The sequence below is a fragment of the Homo sapiens genome, chromosome 22 (genome assembly GCF_000001405.40).
Source record: "Homo sapiens chromosome 22, GRCh38.p14 Primary Assembly".
NCBI lineage: Eukaryota > Metazoa > Chordata > Mammalia > Primates > Hominidae > Homo > Homo sapiens.
In genome coordinates, this window is record NC_000022.11 from 20,688,003 (window position 1) to 20,705,601 (window position 17,599).

General features: G+C 55.7%; 1 long non-coding RNA gene and 3 pseudogenes across 3 annotated transcripts, besides 5 other annotated features; 3 read left to right on the top strand and 1 right to left on the bottom strand.

The window, feature by feature from the left end:
• Positions 1–1,552: 1,552 nt before the first annotated feature.
• Positions 1,553–3,719, top strand: POM121L4P (POM121 transmembrane nucleoporin like 4, pseudogene; annotated as a pseudogene). Its single transcript, NR_024592.1, has one exon. The product of NR_024592.1 is annotated as a POM121 transmembrane nucleoporin like 4, pseudogene (transcript).
• BCRP5 (BCR pseudogene 5) lies at positions 7,436–10,957 on the bottom strand (annotated as a pseudogene).
• Positions 7,534–8,927, top strand: LOC107985584 (uncharacterized). The gene is made up of 2 exons (XR_007068010.1): positions 7,534–7,746; positions 8,803–8,927. It is a non-coding gene; the product is annotated as an uncharacterized LOC107985584 (long non-coding RNA).
• Positions 8,730–9,346: an enhancer, noted in NCBI's record as "H3K4me1 hESC enhancer chr22:21051020-21051636 (GRCh37/hg19 assembly coordinates)". NCBI's record gives its function as "activates a minimal SCP1, AML or CMV promoter by ChIP-STARR-seq in primed H9 embryonic stem cells {active_cell/tissue: H9 hESC(primed)}" and the evidence as "EXISTENCE:reporter gene assay evidence [ECO:0000049][PMID:30033119]".
• Positions 13,112–16,601, top strand: TMEM191A (transmembrane protein 191A (pseudogene); annotated as a pseudogene). Its single transcript, NR_026815.1, has 8 exons — positions 13,112–14,304; positions 14,584–14,707; positions 15,004–15,120; positions 15,466–15,522; positions 15,631–15,690; positions 15,966–16,038; positions 16,186–16,226; positions 16,309–16,601. The product of NR_026815.1 is annotated as a transmembrane protein 191A (pseudogene) (transcript).
• Positions 14,717–14,786: a silencer, noted in NCBI's record as "silent region_13497". NCBI's record gives its function as "represses an Ori minimal core promoter by ATAC-STARR-seq in GM12878 lymphoblastoid cells {active_cell/tissue: GM12878}" and the evidence as "EXISTENCE:reporter gene assay evidence [ECO:0000049][PMID:35858748]".
• Positions 15,017–15,126: an enhancer, noted in NCBI's record as "active region_18683". NCBI's record gives its function as "activates an Ori minimal core promoter by ATAC-STARR-seq in GM12878 lymphoblastoid cells {active_cell/tissue: GM12878}" and the evidence as "EXISTENCE:reporter gene assay evidence [ECO:0000049][PMID:35858748]".
• Positions 15,225–15,797: an enhancer, noted in NCBI's record as "H3K27ac-H3K4me1 hESC enhancer chr22:21057515-21058087 (GRCh37/hg19 assembly coordinates)". NCBI's record gives its function as "activates a minimal SCP1, AML or CMV promoter by ChIP-STARR-seq in primed H9 embryonic stem cells {active_cell/tissue: H9 hESC(primed)}" and the evidence as "EXISTENCE:reporter gene assay evidence [ECO:0000049][PMID:30033119]".
• Positions 15,517–15,666: a silencer, noted in NCBI's record as "silent region_13498". NCBI's record gives its function as "represses an Ori minimal core promoter by ATAC-STARR-seq in GM12878 lymphoblastoid cells {active_cell/tissue: GM12878}" and the evidence as "EXISTENCE:reporter gene assay evidence [ECO:0000049][PMID:35858748]".
• Positions 16,602–17,599: the final 998 nt, after the last annotated feature.

Consider the following 17,599-nt stretch of genomic DNA (forward strand, 5'->3'; position numbering starts at 1 on the left):
CCATTGCCAGCAGGTGCTGAGATCGCGCCATTGCACTCCAGCCTGGGAGACAACAGCGAAACTCCGTCTCAAAATTAAAAAAAAAAGGATGAAAATTTTGGAAAAATATGGAAGAAACCAAATGGATTTCTAGCTCAACTAAATCGTAATTATTCAGTGTCTAGTTTTTGCAAGAAACCATATATTTCATGTCCACAATCGGCCACAGTCCCAGCTCTCAAGTGTAGGTCTTTCCTAAGCAAATTGAAGAACACAGGCATAAAAGTGCATTAAGTCAATAAACATTTTTCTCTGTGTCTCTCTCTCTCTTTTTTTTTTTTTTTTTTTGAGACGGAGGTTCGCACTGTCACCCAGGCTGGAGTGCAGTGGTGAGATCTCGGGTGACTGCAAGCTCCGCCTCCCGAGTTCACGCCATTCTCCTGCCTCAGCCTCCAGAGTAGCTGGGACTACAGGCGCCCGCCACCACGCCCGGCTAATTTTTTGTAGTTTTAGTAGAGACGGGGTTTCGCTATGTTGGCCAGGCTGGTCTCCAACTCCTGACCTCGTGATCCACCCGCCTCCGCCTCCCAAAGTGCCACAGCCCCGGCCTTTTTTTTTTTAAGACAGAGTCTCGGCCGGGCGCGGTGGCTCACGCCTTTAATCCCAGCACTTTGGGAGGCCGAGGCGGGCGGATCACGAGGTCAGGAGGTCGAGGCCATCCTGGCTAACACGGTGAAACCCCGTCTCTACTAAAAATACAAAAAAGCAGCCGGGTGTGGTGGCGGGCGCCTGTAGTCCGAGCTACTCCCGAGGCTGAGGCAGGAGAATGGCGTGAACCCGGTAGGCGGAGCTTGCGGTGAGCCCAGAGATCAGGCCACTGGAATCCAGCCTGGGCGACAGAGGGAGACTCCGTCTCAAAAAAAAAAAAAGAAAAAAAAAAAAGACTCTGACTCTGTTGCCCAGGTTGGAGTGCAGTGGCGCGATCTCGGCGCATCGCAATCCCTTCCCAGCCCCCGGGTTCAAGTGATTCTCCAGTCTCAGCCGCCGGAGTAGCTGGGACTACAGGCGCGTGCCACCATGTCTGACTAAATTTGTATTTTTACTAGAAAGGGGGTTTCACTATGTTGGCCAGGCTGGTCTCCAACTCCTGATCTCGTGATCCGTCCGCCCCGACCTCCCAAAGTGCTAGGATTATAGGCATAAGCCGCCACGCCCGGCCTTTTGTTTTTCTTTTTCTTTTTTTTATTTGAAGACTGAGTTTTGCACTTGTTGCCCAGGCTGGAGTGCAATGGTGCGATCTCAGCTCACTGCAATCTCCACCTCAGCAGGAGAGCAGGAATCTTCAGTGATCCACGGGCAGATCTGCCGCCATTGTGGGCACCTGTTCCTCCCGCGACCTTTGTGCCCGCCTCTCTCCTTCCAGTACCTATTGCATGACCCCCCACGTCCGCCTCCCGCCATTGCCAGCAAGTGCCTCGCGCGGGTACCTGGCTGCGCTTATTAATCCGTTAAGCTCGCTCTGTCACGGGCGCCGTGATGTGCTCACGCGCCCGCTCCCTCAGGTTTAAAAGGCGCGTTGCCCGGCAACAGAAGAAACTGCTGGCTTAGCCGTTGGCCGAGTTGGCGGCTGGACGAGGACGCTCAGAGCCCAGCTCTCGAGAGTTCAAGCAACCGACGGTTCCCCACTGCTCCCAGGAGCGGTTACCTGGGCACTCTGTGCCCCTCCTTCCTGTTCGGGCCCAGGCCGAGGACCTGCCAGTAGGGCTCAGTTGCCTGGAGCCCGTTCAGCCCATCCCCCAGTTCACTTTGCCTGTGGGATCTCCCCGTTGCTCCTGCCCGTGGACTGAGTGGCAGGCCATCCTACAAGCACCCGGACACTTGACATCCGTGGTGTCAAGACAACTCTAAGAAGGTTTTCCGTGATCCTGCAAGCCCTGCCTTCCTTTCTGGGATCCTGCCTTCAATTTGATTGCACAGGTACCACAGCAAGCCAGTGCTGTGTGCTCCGAGTTCCAGGGCGTCCTCCAGCTCAGCCACTGCACTGAGAACATGGACTCTCTGTGGGGCCCAGGAGCTGGGAGTCACCCCTTTGGGGTCCACAACAGCCGGCTGTCCCCAGACTTGTGTCCAGGGAAGATAGTGTTGAGGGCCCTCAAGGAGAGCGGGGCAGGGATGCCTGAGCAGGACAAGGACCCTAGAGTCCAAGAGAATCCTGGTGATCAGAGAAGGGTCCCCGAGGTCACCGGGGATGCACCGTCTGCATTTCGGCCCCTGCGGGACAATGGAGGCCTCTCTCCCTTTGTGCCCGGGCCCGGGCCTCTGCAGACAGACCTCCATGCCCAGAGGTCAGAAATCAGATATGACCAGTCATCCCAGACCTCCTGGACGAGCTCGTGCACCAACCGAAATGCCATCTCCAGCTCCTACAGCTCCACGGGAGGCTTGCCGGGGCTAAAGCGGAGGAGGGGGCCAGCCTCATCCCACTGCCAGCTGACCCTCAGTTCCTCAAAGACAGTGAGTGAGGACAGGCCTCAGGCTGTCTCTTCGGGTCACACCCAGTGTGAAAAGGTGGCAGAGAAAGCACCAGGGCAGACACTCGCCCTCAGGAATGACTCCTCCAGATCCGAGGCCTCTAGGCCCAGTACACGCAAGTTTCCCCTGCTGCCACACAGGCGAGGGGAGCCTTTGATGCTGCCACCTCCCGTAGAGCTGGGGTACCGGGTCACTGCTGAAGACCTGGACTGGGAGAAGGAGGCGGCATTCCAGTGCATCAAGAGTGCACTGCAGGTTGAGGACAAGGCCATCTCAGACTGCAGACCCTCACGGCCTTCCCACACTTTGTCCTCACTTGCAACAGGGGCTTCTGGTCTGCCTGCCGTTTCTAAAGCACCCAGTATGGATGCACAGCAGGAGAGACACAAGTCCCAAGACTGCCTGGGCCTAGTGGCCCCCCTAGCATCTGCTACAGAGGTCCCCTCTACAGCTCCCATGTCTGGGGAGAAGCACAGACCACCAGGCCCCCTGTTCTCCTCCTCAGATCCCCTTCCTGCCACCTCTTCCCACTCCCAGGACTCAGCCCAGGTCACCTCGCTGATTCCTGCCCCCTTCCCAGCTGCAAGCATGGATGCGGGCATGAGAAGAACAAGGCCTGGCACTTCTGCTCCTGCAGCTGCCGCAGCAGCCCCTCCCCCCTCCACATTGAACCGCACATTGGGGTCACTATTGGAGTGGATGGAGGCCCTTCACATTTCTGGGCCTCAGCCACAGCTGCAGCAGGTGCCCAGAGGTCAGAACCAGAGATCCCAGACCTCCCGGACCAGCTCGTGCCCCAAACGAAATGCCATCTCGAGCTCCTGCAGCTCTACGGGAGACCTCCCGGGACGAAAGCGGAAGAGGCGCCAGCCTCATCCCACTGCCAGCTGACCCTCAGTTCCTCAAACACAGTGAGTGAGGACGGACCTGAGGCTGTCTCTTCGGGTCACACCCAGTGTGAAAAGACGGCAGATACAGCACCAGGGCAGACACTCGGCCCCAGGGGTGGCTCCCCCAGATCCCAGTCCTCTAGGCCCCGTAGACACAAGTTTCCCCTGCTGCCACGCAGGCGAGGGGAGCCTTTGATGCTGCCACCTCCCTTAGAGCTGGGGTACTGGGTCACTGCTGAAGACCTGGACCGGGAGAAGGAGGCGGCATTCCAGCGCATCAACAGTGCACTGCAGGTTGAGGACAAGGCCATCTCGGACTGCAGACCCTCACGGCCTTCCCACACTTTGTCCTCACTTGCTACAGGGGCTTCTGGTCTGCCTGCCATTTCTAAAGCACCCAGTATGGATGCACAGCAGGAGAGACACAAGTCCTAAGACTGTCTGGGCCTAGTGGATCCCCCAGCATCTGCTGCACAGGTCTGTAGTCCCAGCTACTCGGGAGGCTGAGGCAGGAGAACGGCATAAACCCGGGAGGCAGAGCTTGCAGTGAGCTGAGATCGCGCGACTGCACTCCAGCCTGGGTGACAGAGCGAGACTCCGTCTCAAAAAAAGAAAAAGAAAAAGAAAAAAAAAGTTCTTGTGACATTTCTGTATGAAATCAGCCTTCACTACATGGATAGGACCAGCACGCTTCCGCGGCACGACTCTGCAATCTTACTACATTTTTTTTATTTTGTATTTTATTTATTCCTTTTGAGACAGTCTTACTCTGTCACCCAGGCTGAAGTGCAGCCGAGATCTCGGCTCACTGCAACCTCCACCTCCTGGGTTCAAGCAATTCTCCTGTCTCAGCCTCCCAAGTAGCTGAGACTACAGGCACACGTCAAAAGGCCCGGCTAATTTTTGTATTTTTAGTAGAGATGGAGTTTAGCCATATTGGTCAGGCTGGTCTCGAACTCCTGACCTCAGGTGATTGACCTGTCTTAGCCTCCCGAAGTGCTAGGATTACAGGTGTAAGTTTATTTATTTATTTAAGATGGAATCTTGCTCTGTATTTATTAATTTATTTATTTGAGATGGAGTCTTGCTCCATCGCCCAGGCTAGGGTGCAGTGGTGCAATCTCGGCTCACTGCAACCTCTGACTTCCAGTTTCAAGCGATTCTCCTGCCTCAGTGTCCCAAGTAGCTGGGATTACAGGTGCCTGCCACCACAGCTGGCTAATTTTTGTATTTTTAGTAGAGACAGTGTTTCACCGTCTTGGCCAGGCTGGTCTCAGGCTCCTGACCTCATGAACCACCTGCCTCAGCCTCCCAAAGTGTTGGGATTACAGGCCTAAGGCACCATGTTCGGCCATATTTATTTATTTAATTATTTAGAGACAAAGTCTTGCTCTGTCACCCAGGCTGGAGTGCAGTGGCGCCATCTCAGCTCACTGCAGCCTCTGCCTCCAAGGTTTAAGCGATTCTCATGCCTCAGACTCCTGAGTAACTGGGACTACAGGTACTCACCACCACGCAGGGATTTTTTTTTTCTATTTTTTTGTAGAGACACAGTTTCACCATATTGGCCAGGCTGGTCTCGAACTCCTGACCTTAGGTGATCTGACAGCTTCGTCCTCTCAAAGTACTGGGATTACAGGCATGAGCCACCGAGCCCGGCCTCTCACTACATTTAAGTGATGCCATGGCTCATGCCTGTAATCCTAGCACTTTGGGAGGCCAAGGCAGGTGGATCACCTGAGGTCAGGAGTTTGACACGAGCCTGGCCAACATGGGGAAACCCCGTCTCTAGTAAAAACACAAAAATTAGTCAGGCATGGTGGTACAAGCCTGTAGGCCCAGCTACTTGGAAGGCTGAGGCAGGAGAATCACTTTAACCGGGAGGCAGAGGTTGCAGTGAGCCAATATCATGCCACTGCACTCCAGCTTGGGTGACAGAGTGAGACACCATCTCAAAAAAAGAAAAGAAAAGAAAAGAAAAACATATGATGCCGGGGCATCTCGGCCTCAATACCTGCATGAGCACAGTCATGTCCAGGCCAGGGCTGCTGGTCGAGGTCCGGCCCCATCTCTTCCAGCAGAAAGGGAGTAAGCTTGCAGGGAGGCTGGGGGACAAGATCCCAGGATCTCAGCCTCTGCTCATGGATCAGCTCTGAGACCCCGAGTGAGCTGGGGGTGCTCTGTGCGCATTGGTTTCCCCAGCTGTCAAGTAAAGGGATTGGATGAGGAAGTCTTGTCAAGGTGGAATGATCTCAGATTTGGGGCAGCAGTGAAGGATCCCGCTCCCTGGGCCATGCCAGTGGCCCGGCCTCGGCTGAACACAGCCCCAACACTCTGGAATGGGGATGAGGGGGCAGTCAGCTCTTGCTCCTAGTAAGAGAGATGCAACAGGGCTCTGTGGCTGAGCTGGGTGCCTTGCCTCACACTTGTAATCCCAACCTTTGAGAGGCCGAGGCAGGAGGATTGCTTGAGGCCGGGAATTTTGAGAATAGCCTGGACAACATAGCCAGACCCCATGTCTACAAAATAATAAGAAAACACACAGCTATAGTCCAAGCTACTTGGCAGGCTGAGGCAGGAGGGTCCCTTGAGTCCAGGAATTGGAGGCTGCATTGAGCTATAATCGCACCACTGCACTCCAGCTTGGGTGACAAAGTGAGACCCTGTCTCTAAAAGAAAAAAAAAATTGGCCTGTGAGCATGGGTTTGATCTTCAAACAGGACCTGGAGGGTAGGGACAGACAGTGCTGTCACCCTTAGGTGCTGAACACTCAGAAACGGGCCAGCGGCAGCCCTTCCCTCACCTGCAGACACCAGATTGGGCAGAACAGCACGTGGCACTTGCAGCTCTTGCAGTGAGGGCAGAACCCAGTGTCAACCCTTCTGCCTGTGGGAGGGGCTGCTGAGGCCTGCGGAGAGGCCAGGGTGGAGGCTCGTCCCCTTGTCCAGCCCTTGGCGTGGTCTCCACCAGGTCCCCAGCCCACCAGTGCAGGGCGCCCCTGAGCCTGCTGCTGCCACGGGCCCTGTCTCTACCCAGGACGTCCCCCCACCCTCGCTGTGTCAGGGAAATGATCATGGTGGCGGTGACACTCCGCAGGCAGGGCTGCTGAGAGAAGCTGAGAAGGGTCACACTGCAGGCAGAGGCCCGTGTGACAAGCCCCTCTCACCCCGAGAGAGCTGACCAGGCAGCTCACGAGCAGAGCCACATCCCGGGAGTCCGAGAAAGGTCCTGGCTGGGCTCAGCCACCTCATTGGCCACGGGCAGCCTTTGTCGTGTGAGCCTTGCTCTCCTGGGGAGGCTCAGGCTGACGGCTGATGTGGGCATTGCCGAGGGTAACCTGTGGCCCAGTGTATATGGCCGGGTCTCCTCAAGCTGCATTCATTCAAGTAGGACCCAGGGTGCGTGCCCATCTCCAGCCCAGGGCAGCTCCCCTGTAAGCTGGGTGAGCTACTGAAGCCAAGGCAGGAGGCAGCTGACAACACCCACGGCCCATGCAGAGGTGGTGGAAAGGCTGGAGTCAGCAGCAACACCAAATCCCGGACCAGGCAGAAACCACCCAAGACTGAGGGGCTCGTGCCAGAGCGGTGGCCACAGGTAAGAACCCGGGCCCAGGCTGTGTGGCAGGAATCCTCCATGTCCCAGGGCTTAGCATAGCAAAGGAAGACCAGCCGGGTCACCCTGGTGGCCATCTGTCCCTGTCCCACCTGCAGAGTCAGAACAGCCTCTCCCCAGTGGGGATCATCTCTCTCTGCCAAAGCAACAGCGGTCCCTGCCCCAACCAGACTACCCCACTCAGTGGAGTTACGGATGCTGCTCCAGCATCCTAACACTGCCCAGCTGGTGCCTGCCTGTGCTCACCCGCACCCCCCAGGCCGGCCTTCCCTGCAGCCTGGGCTTGGCCACCTTGGCCTGATTGAGCACTGAGGCCTCCTGGGCACCCAGCCCCATCACTGCACCTGCTGCTTCCAGCCCCACCCCACAAGCTCAGGGGTTCTTCCCAGCGGCGCTGATCATGAAGTCAACATGCACGCAAGTCGTCTCAGGAAACTTTTTAATGAAAGTGTTGGCCACGGTGGTGTGTAGGTGGCTGAGCTCAGATTGCAGCTGCTGAGACACCAGCCACTTACCAAGAGAAAGCCAGGCTGCTTCAAACCCAGGGCCCGCGGCAAAAAAGCATCACTTCCGGCCGGGGAGTCTGGAAGCCACGCCTTGTGGGAGGTCACACTGGCATCTAGGCCTTCGCCTGCACTGCAGAAGGAGAGCCGGGTCCCCCTCCTGGAGAACGCTGCGTTCCCCAGCCCCACACCGGCTTTGCCACCACACAGGCTGTTGAGGCAGGAGGCGGGTAAGACGTAGCTGTAGACCCAAAGCAACCACCAGCCCTGGGACCCTGCGGGAGAGAAGCACTTTTAGAACATGGAAAAGTGTGGTCATCCCATCATTAGACAGCACACATCCTACATAAATAAAAAGTCGTATGGGGAAGGAGGTTGGGGAGGGAATAAAAAACTGGCACAGACATTGATAGACTGGTTTCCAGTTTCAAGGTAACAGATGCACATCATGAGACCAGAGGAGGCAGAGACAAGGGCTGGATTTGGCTTTTCTAAGCAACATGTGTTCCTGCGCAGGGCTGAATGGTCACTGAGACAGAGATGGAAGCCAGGACAGGGGAGCCCACTGGGCCCAGATAGGTACAGAGAGCAGAGGCTCCTGTTCTGTCCTCACCACCCATGAGGGTGACACTGCTTGTAAATGGTGGCTGTGCTCTCCCAGCAAGAAAAAAGCACAACTAAATCCACACTGCACAAAGACGCAGACAGAAAGCCTTCAAGTGGCTCTGTTTTCTGCTCCCTGCCTCATCAGGTCCACAAGCAGAGAGGAGTGTCAGGTACATATCCCTGCTGTCAGGCTCCCCAGTAAGCTGCGGGCTCAGCAGGAGCTGCCCACTGACACACAGGGGACACCCACTCCTGCCACCTTGGGAGCGGTTGCCAGACAGAGCCGTACTGGGTGCTGGTGTCATCCAGGGACCCCACACACTTCCTTAAATGTGATCCTGCTTCCCTCTGCGCAGCTGCATCCTCTCCTCCTGCAGGACCGTCTGGAAACTTGGCTCTCAGTTTGCTCTCCCTTCTCTCCTCTGCCTGCCCCAAGCCCCTCTTTCTAAAAAAGTGATGCCACGTTCATGGGATTATTTCTTGAAAATACTTGGCGGCCTCCATGCTTCTGTTTTCTTTGAGTCAGGTAGTCAGGAGGGTTTACAAACAATGCCTGGGCTCCCCCGCAGGTGCCGGCAGATGGGGTAGCGAATGGTCCTGTGCCTCCACCTGCTCCGGGAGGGAGTCTCCCGTCTCTAGGCCTGGCCCCTTCCTAACCCTCCACGTATCCTGTTCTCCAGAGACTTCAGAACCCACTCCTGAGAACAGCGGAGCCAGGCGCTTAGAGGAAGACCAAATGCTGCCAGGACACGGATTGTCCAGGGATTACATTCCAGCATCTTATTAGGTATCTGGATCTGTTGGGGAAAAAATTAGAAACTATGTATAAAACTTACAAATATTCAAGTATCAAAAGGTTATTTAGGATGAAAGTTTTAAAACAAGTCATCAGCAAGCTGCTACCACCAAGTGGAGACTTATACAAAAGTTGAGCGAGTCCACTGAGCTGAGAGGACAGAAATGAAGTCACCTGTGCTGGGGCAGGGGCAGGGACACTGGGGGCAGGGAGTGTGTGGGCAGAGAAGCCAGAGAAGTCCAGGCCTGTGGAAGCCAAACAGGAGAGCGTGGGCCGGAAGGGCGGTCAGGATCGGGGGACGAGGTCGCTCTCCCTGGAGAACGAACCCTAAGGTGCGTAGCCTGGGATTCCCTCCCTGGAGGTCCTGTCCCCCGACATTTCACAGGCCTTCTGAGCTGCTTTCCAAGGAGGACTAACACGGCAACAAAAGAACCATTTCTGCACAAAAATCCTGGAAAGAAAAAGAAGCAAGCCGAGAATGGAGTCAAAACGCTACCCAGTGCTGACTAAGCCTCTCAAACCCTGTTCTAAGTGGACTGTGGTTTCTAAGTCAGGGAAATGGAAGAGGCCCCACCCACACAGGGACAGGGCCACGGCCCCCACAGGATGAAGCAGCAGCGTTTATTCAAGATACAACAGTGAGGGAATCCGGTCACGTTCCCTTCTCCCCAGAGAGGGCGCATCTTGACAAGTGATCGAGTAGAAATCTTTTAAACTCTAAGTTAAGTTCATAAAAACCACTGGTTTCACTCTGTCTCCCAGGGCCAGGCCTGGCCTCTGAGATGCACTGGCTTGGGGCGCCCTCAGGTGGCTGCATGGAAAACCCACAGTCTGAGGCCAGCCTGGGGCTTTCAGACCTGGGCGGGATCTGCCCAGGCCACCTGTCCTTCTGCTTTGGGCCGCTGTCTCTTGGCAGATGGCCTGACACCTGGGGGTGGCCCAAGGATGCCTCAGAAAATCTTGATTCCCACTCTACAGATAGCCTGATTAGCCAGAGGTTTCCAGGCCATCTGTCCGCCTCCAGGAGATGGACTGGGACCTTTAGACATCGGTGGAGAACAGGATGCTCTGTCCCTTGCTGTCCGGGGCAGGGACGGCCTCCAGCCGCAAGAAGTACAGCAGCACCTCGACCTGCCCTCGCGGAGTGGGGAAGAGGAGAGTGGCTCAGAGGGGGGCTCACAGCTGCTGGTGGGGAGGTCTTTGGGGCCCAAGTCCCCAAGTCCACCTCAGGTGCTAGAAACCCCTGCTGGTGTCATGAACCCCTTACAGTGAGACGGGGGTGGGGTGGGGTCCTGACAAGGCATGACTTGTTGGGTGGGGGGTGGTTATTTATTTTAGAGATGCACAGGGCCTTGCTCTGTCCCCCAGGCTGGAGTACAGTGGCTCCATCATGGATCACTGCAGCCTCTAACTCCTGGGCTCAAGCAATCCTCCTGTGTCAGCCTCCCAGATACCTAGGATTACAGATGTGTGCCACAATGCCTGCCTAATTTTTCTTTGTATTTTTTCTAGAGATGGGGTTTGCTACATTTCCCAGACTGGTCTCAAACACCTGGGTTCAGTTGTCCTGCCTCGGCCTCCCAAAGTGCTGGGATTACAGGCATGAGCCACCACACCTGAACACTTGGGGTGGTTTTAAGCCCCCAGCAAGGTGCACCAGCAGGAGCAGGAGGTGGCCTAGGCTCCCCCTATCACTCCCATCCATGCAAACCTAGGCAAGTCCCTGTCTCTGAATCTCAGCCACCACCACATACAATGCAAGTTGGAAGATGGGCAGGACTGGGGGTGGGGCAGGCAGAGGCCACCTCTGTCAGGCTGGGGTTGCATGGGCTGGAGCCTGTCTTCCCACACCTGGGACATGACCTCCAAGGACCAGCTGTCAGTCATGGTGATGGGCTGGCCGGGGTTGGCAGGGAGCTTGCTCTCCTTCTCGGAGGGCCGGAGCAGCATGGGGCCAAAGACAGTGGCAAGGTTGTGCAGGGACATCTTATTGACTGCCTCCTTCTCTGCCACCCTGTAGAGGACCAAAGCAGAAGGTGCTGTTTCAACGCCACCACCAGGAGAGAGGCAGAGGGGCTGTGCCGTGCTAGAGTCCTCAGGGAGAGAGTGACCTCGACCCTGGCTATGAGCCAATGCGCCCGGCCTCTCACTCTTCTTTATTCAGCATAATTTATTCTGACGTATCTTCAGTGTAGGTATTCTCTTTTTATTCTCCTATTCCTGTTAAACCCATTGGGCTGAATGCTGTTTATTTCTAGAATGTCTACACCTGTTTTTCTGCAAGGTCATTTTTTTTTCTCGTTTGCTGTTCGTCACATATACTTTCAAGCTCATCGGTTCCCTCCGTGAGTACAGGTAAGTGGAGGAGCCTCATGGTCTGCCTCAGGTCTTTGAGATGTTGAGTCTCTGGATCTGGTCCTGCTGCTGGCCTTTTCTGTCCTTGCTCATGGGGCATTGTTTCCGTGAATGTGTGGTTACTTTTGACTGCATTACTCATTGTCCTGGAAAAATGACTTTGTGGGAATTTTTCAGACCTAGGGTAAAGATGCTTCCTCCAAACTAGGTTTACGCTTCCTTCTGCCAGGTACCTCAGGGCGCTGTCAGCCTAAAGCCAATTTAAACTAAATCCATCAACTGTGAGGTTTTGGAATCTTCTCACTGGTGTGAATTTGGGCCATAAGTCCCAAATTCTGTGGGGTGCTCTGTGGGGTGGGGACCAGCCTTAGAGTTCTCATCGGAAGCCCGGGGTGGCTGGATGGGGGCAGATGTTTTCAGGGCAAGAGCGGCTTGGCTCGCCTCTCTGGTTTCTGGTTTCCCCAGATGGTGCCTGGCGGCTCCTCACTGTCTTGTCAGCCCCTGGATGCCTTTAAGAAAACATCCTTTTATTTTGTCAGCATTTTTGGTACTTCTCAGTGTGAGGGCTGGTCCAAGTATTTGGCTTATCATAGTTTTACAAAAAGTTGGTTTCTATGAAATCTTAAGTCACCTCTTTTTTAAAAATGTACCTTTTAGTCCGGGCACGGTGGCTCACTCCTGTAATCCCAGCACTTTGGGAAGCCGGGGCAGGCAGATCACTTGAGGCCAGGAATTTGAGACCAGCCTGGACAACATGGTGAAACCCTGTCTCTACTAAAACTACAAAAATCAGTCGGGTGTAGGGCCAGGCGCAGGGGCTCACGCCTGTAATCCCAGCACTTTGGGAGGCCAAAGCAGGTGGATCACCTCAGGTTGGGAGTTCAAGACCAGCCTGACCAACATGGAGAAACCCCGTCTCTACTAAAAGTACAAAATTAGCTGGGCGTGGTGGCGCATGCTTGTAATCCCAGCTGCTCATGAGGCTGAGACAGGAGAATCACTTGAACCCGGGAGGTGGAGGTTGTGGTGAGCCAAGATCATGCGATTCCCCCTGCCTCAGCCTCCCAAGTAGGTGGGACTACAGGCAAGCACCACCATACCCGGCTAACTTTTTTTTGGTATTTTTAGTAGAGACAGGATTTTACCATCTTGGCCAAGCTGGTCTTGAACTCCTCACCTCGTGATCCACCCACCTCGGCCTCCCAAAGTGCTGGATTACAGGCGTGAGCTACCGCGCCCAGACTAAAAGCGCGCCCGGCCGTCTACTACTTCTTATAGGGTGAGAGGCGGGAGGATCGCTTGAGCCCTGAAGTTTGCGGCTGCTGCAGTTGGCTTTGATCGTACCACTGCACTCCAGCCAGGGTGACAGCAGGACCCTGACTCTAAAAAAAGAAAAAGAAAAAAAAGCATATACTATTAATACTTCCTCCTTACTATAATATTTACCGTGGCCTTTATCAGACTAGAGAGTGCTTTTATCTCTCCCTTTTGTAAGAAAGAGCTTTTAGAATTATCAATAGATGGTCAGGTGAGGTGGCTCAGGCCTGTAATTCCAGCACTTTGGGAGGCCGAGGTGGGTGGATCACGAGGTCAGGAGTTCAAAACCAGCTTGGCCAAGATGGTGAAACCCTGTCTCTACTAAAAATACAAAAAAATTAGCTGGGTGTGGTGGCGAGTGCCTGTAATGCCAGCTACTCCGGAGGCTGGGGCAGAGAATTGCTTGAACCCAGTAGGCGGAGGTTGCAGTGAGCCAAGATTGTGCCACTGCACTCCAGCCTGGGCAACAGAGTGAGACTCTGTCTCAGAAAAAAAAAAAAAATTATTAATAGATGGTGACCCTCATCTTCACGTTTTCTGCATCTATTGAAGTGCGCCACTGAGATCGTGGAGTTCTTCCCTGTTTGTCCATATGATGAACAACACTGATTTTCTGATGTTGAACAATCCCTGGAATAAACTCTGTTTGGTTTCCATGGATTTCTGTTTCCCTTTAGATTTTGTTAGTAATTTATTTTGGATTTTTGCATCCAAGTTCATAATTGTAACTGGACAAATAAAGGCAGATTTTAAAAGGACAAGTTGGGAGGCTAAGGCGGAAGGATCACTTGAGCCTGGGAGATTGAAGCTGCAGCTAGCTTCGATTGTTCCACTGTACTCCAGCCTGGTGACAGCAGGACCTGCCTCTAAAATAATAATACTTAAAAGGACGAGTTTACCTACAGTCTCACCAAGCAATGAAAGAGCTTATCTTCTTCCTGTTTCCTTTACGGATCTTGCTCATGTATTTTATCTTAGTTACTTTAGCATAAATGCTAAATCAAATTCTTTTTCACTAGACATCATAATAGCTCTAGGCATACCACATAATACCCAAGCACATTTTAATCATTAAAATTGTTTCCTTTTTTTGTGGCTACTGTAACCACTTCAGCGAACCATTTAGTGTGTAGTGGGTTTAAATTTTTTCTCCTTCCTGGGATAAATTTCCCAGGAGAGGGATAATTGGGTCAAAAGTTACGAACATATTTATGGGTTCTTTTCCACAAGAGATCGATCAGTTTGCAAGTGCCATCTGCACTGTGGGGGAACCAATCTTCAACTTGCCTGCATTTGGTATTAGTATTTCATTAACCTTTCATTGATCTAATTACGGCTCTTTGACACAATTTTCATCAGTGATGGACTAAGTGTGATCCGGCCTGACCCGCCTCCGGCCGGCGTGAGAAGGGGCATGTGTCGGGCTACCCTCGGGCTTCCCCTGCCGCCCATTGTGATCCAGCCCGCTAGGCGCTCCCTGCCGCCCATTGTGACGCCTGCCAGCCGCAGGCTGGGTCCCCGAGGCGGGCGGCATTTAGGCTCGGTCTCCACAGCCATGGCCGCGACGCAGGAGCTGCTGCTGCAGTTGCAGAAGGATAACCGAGATGGTCGCCAGCGGAAGCAGGAGCTAGAGAAGCTGATGCGCGGGCTCGAGGCCGAGAGCGAGAGCCTGCCTCAACCAGCGCCTGCAGGACCTGAGCGAGCGGGAGCGGAGGTGCGCGGGGAACGCCCCTCTACCTGGCGGGCGCGCGAGGGTCGGTCCCGCAGGCAGCGCCGCGAGGTGCTTCGCAGAGTACCAGGCTGATCCGCCCGGGCCCGCATCTCTGCTCTAGGCCCTTGGGAACGGGTGATCCACCCAGCGGACCCAGGTGGGGGACTCGGCCAGGACTTCCCAGTCCTCAATCATGAGCCTGCGGCTGGTCCTTCCTGGCGACTGCGGGATCCTGAGCGACCCAGTCCGCCTTGTAGCGCCAACCTCAGTTTCCCTCTGCAGGCTGCTGCGGAGGCGAAGCCAGGAAGCGCTGCTTCTGCAAGGGGAGGTGCGCGAGGCGGCGCGGGAGCGCGCGCAGCGGGTGCGCAGAAGACTGGAGGAGGCGGAGCGCCACAAGGAGGACTTGGTGAGGAAGAGTCCTGGAATGGGGCTGGACCCAGGGTGGGGTGGGGCAGGGCGGGCGGAAGGGGGCAGGATCCGGGGGTGGGGTGAGGTAGGACCGGCGGTGAGGCCGGCACCGCCCCAGGACCCTGTCCGCAGGAGCAGCACAGCAGGCAGCTGCAGGGCAGTGGGAGGAGCTGTCGAGTCAGGTACGTGCAGGAGATGGGAGGGCCTGTCTCTTGGTTCCTCTCGGAAGTCCTGCCCTTGCCCTCGCTCTCATTGCCTCCCCGTCCCTGTCTCCCCTGACACTCGTTCCTCCAGAAGCCCGGTAAACCCCGTCCTTACGAGCCCCGCCCCTAGCTCTTCTACTACGGAGGGGAACTGCAGAGCCAGAAGAGCACGGAGCAGCAACTCGCAGCCCAATTGGTGACGCTGCAGGTGCTTGAGCGGGACCCTGAGGTCTTTAGTAGGGGCGGAGCAGCAGCGTGAGCGGGGCCGTGACCACCTGGGGGTGTGGCTTAAGGCAGGCCCTGAAGGCGTGGGCGGGGCGGGGATGTGGGCGGGGCATAATCGCCTGGGGGCGGGGCCCTGAGGGCTAGATACGGGCGGAGCGCGGAGGGGGCGGGGCCATGACCAGCTGGGGCGTTGCTTACGACTGGTCCTGAGGACGTGGGCGGGGTCATGATCGCCTGGGGGCGGGCACTGAGGGCCGGGGGCGGGGCCCGGAGGCGCAGCGGGTTGCCGGCCTGCGGACCTCCTGACATTCCCTGGGTCCTTCTCAAGAATGAACTGGAGCTGGCGGAGACCAAATGCGCCTTGCAGGAGGAGAAGCTGCAGCAGGTGAGGGCAGAAGCGGGTTCTGTTGGAGGAGGGTAGGCTTTCGAGTGTGGATGGGGAAGGGCCTGTCGCCCCGCCCCCGCCGAGTCTAACCCGGGTGTCCACACCCAGGACGCGCTGCAGACAGCGGAGGCCTGGGCCATATTCCAGGAGCAGACCGTAGTCCTGCAGGTGCGGCCCCACTCAGACGCCAAGGTGCCTCCCGCCTCTCCTCCCCCAGACCTGGGGCGGTAAGTCTCCCAACCCACCGCCAGGACGCCTCCCCGAGGCCTCAGTCCGCACTCTCACCCGCTCCAGGAGGTGCAGGTGAAGGTGATGGAGGCTGCGGAGGAGCTGGACGCCTGGCAGAGTGGCCGGGAACTGTAAGGGAGTTGGGCTTGCGGGCGCGGCGGGGCACTGTGGGGCCGGGCCGGGCTGGGCTCCCACCTGCATGCCTGTCCCCGCAGGTGTGACGGGCAGCTTCGCAGAGTGCAGTACAGCACCGAGTCGCTCATGGAGGAGATGGCCAGGGCGGACCGAGTGAGCGCCTGCGCGGGTCCGGGCGGGGTGGGCTGGAGCGGGACACCCCTCCCCATCCCCCCCGCGGTACCGCCTCCCCCTCCTCCTGGAAACCGGGCCGGCGCCGCGGGCGCGGAGGTAGCTGGATGCGGCCCTCTCTCCCCGCAGGAGACGCGGCTGTTCGGCGGTCCTCGCGCGCTGGCCATCAGGTGAGCAGGGCGGTGGGCGCGGCCGCGGTCCCCCACGTGCCCGCCCGAGCCGCCGCCCACCTGCCCGCCTTTCGCCCTGCAGGCGCTGCTGACGCTGCCGCTCCTCTTCCTGGGGCTGTCGCTGCTCTGGACGGTGCTGTTGGACCCCGGCGCCGTCTCCGCGTGGCTCTGGAGCCTCACCTCGGAGACGACGCTGCGCCGCCTGCGCTACACGCTGTCCCCGCTGCTGGAGCTGCGCGCTAACGGGCTGCTGCCAACCTAAGTGCAGCGCCCCGCGCCTGGCTCCAGGTGGACTCCAGGGCACCGGCTTTATTTCTGGTGCACTCCTCTCCTGAGAGTGTAGACCAAGGTCGCCTAATAAACTCCTCAAGGGATGAAGCTCGTGGGTTCGTCGTCTGTCTCCCATGTCATGTAGGAGCTTGACTGGCTTTTCAGCCTCCAAAGATTCCTTCCTTTCTTACAGCTCATGGATTTAGATCCACTCCCCAGTATTGTAAACAGCATTTTTAGTTTTTCAGGATACATAATTTGCCATATTGCCAGAAACTTGTACATAGCATTTGACACTTTTTTCTTTGCCAATTTGACAAGCTGCTTTTTTCAAGTATTGTGATTTGAAATTATTTCTACTATATTTGAATTTATTTCTACCATTTGTAACATGTTGATCCTGATTTTTCAATGCTCCCCTTTCCTTCTGTTTGATTATTTGGGAAGTCACACTCTGTATTCTGGTATTCTTACTACTTGAGCTCAGCTCATTGCTGTCATCTTCCCCTAAACCGCCTTAAAGCATCTTAGGTCTTTTCCCTCTGATCACATGTGCTACTTTTTTTTTTTTTCTTTTCTTTTGAGATGGAGTCTTGCTCTGCGCCCAGGCTGGAGTGCAGTGGCATGATCTCGGCTCACTGCAAGCTCTGCCTCCCGGGTTCCAGCGATTCTCCTGCCTCAGCCTCCCAAGTAGCTGGGACTTCAGGCGCCTGCCATCATGCCCGTTTAATTTTTTGTATTTTTAGTAGAGACAGAGTTTCACTGTGTTAGCCAGGATGGTCTCGATCTCCTGACCTCGTGATCCGCCCACCTTGGCCTCCCCAAAGTGCTGGGATTACAGGCATGAGCCACCGTGCCTGGCCAACATTTTCTCCAGATATCTTACCGAGTCCTAATTTCCACTGCGGACAGAGAATACACTCTGCGTGATTTTAATTCTATCTCATTTACTGAGACTTGTTTTGTGGCCCAGCACAAAGCTTGTAATGAACATTGAGAAGAAAGTGTATTGTTGCTGTTGACAGAGTGATTTTTTTTTTGAGACGGAGTCTCGCTCTGTCGCCAGGCTGGAGTATAGTGGTGTGCAATCTCGGCTCACTCCA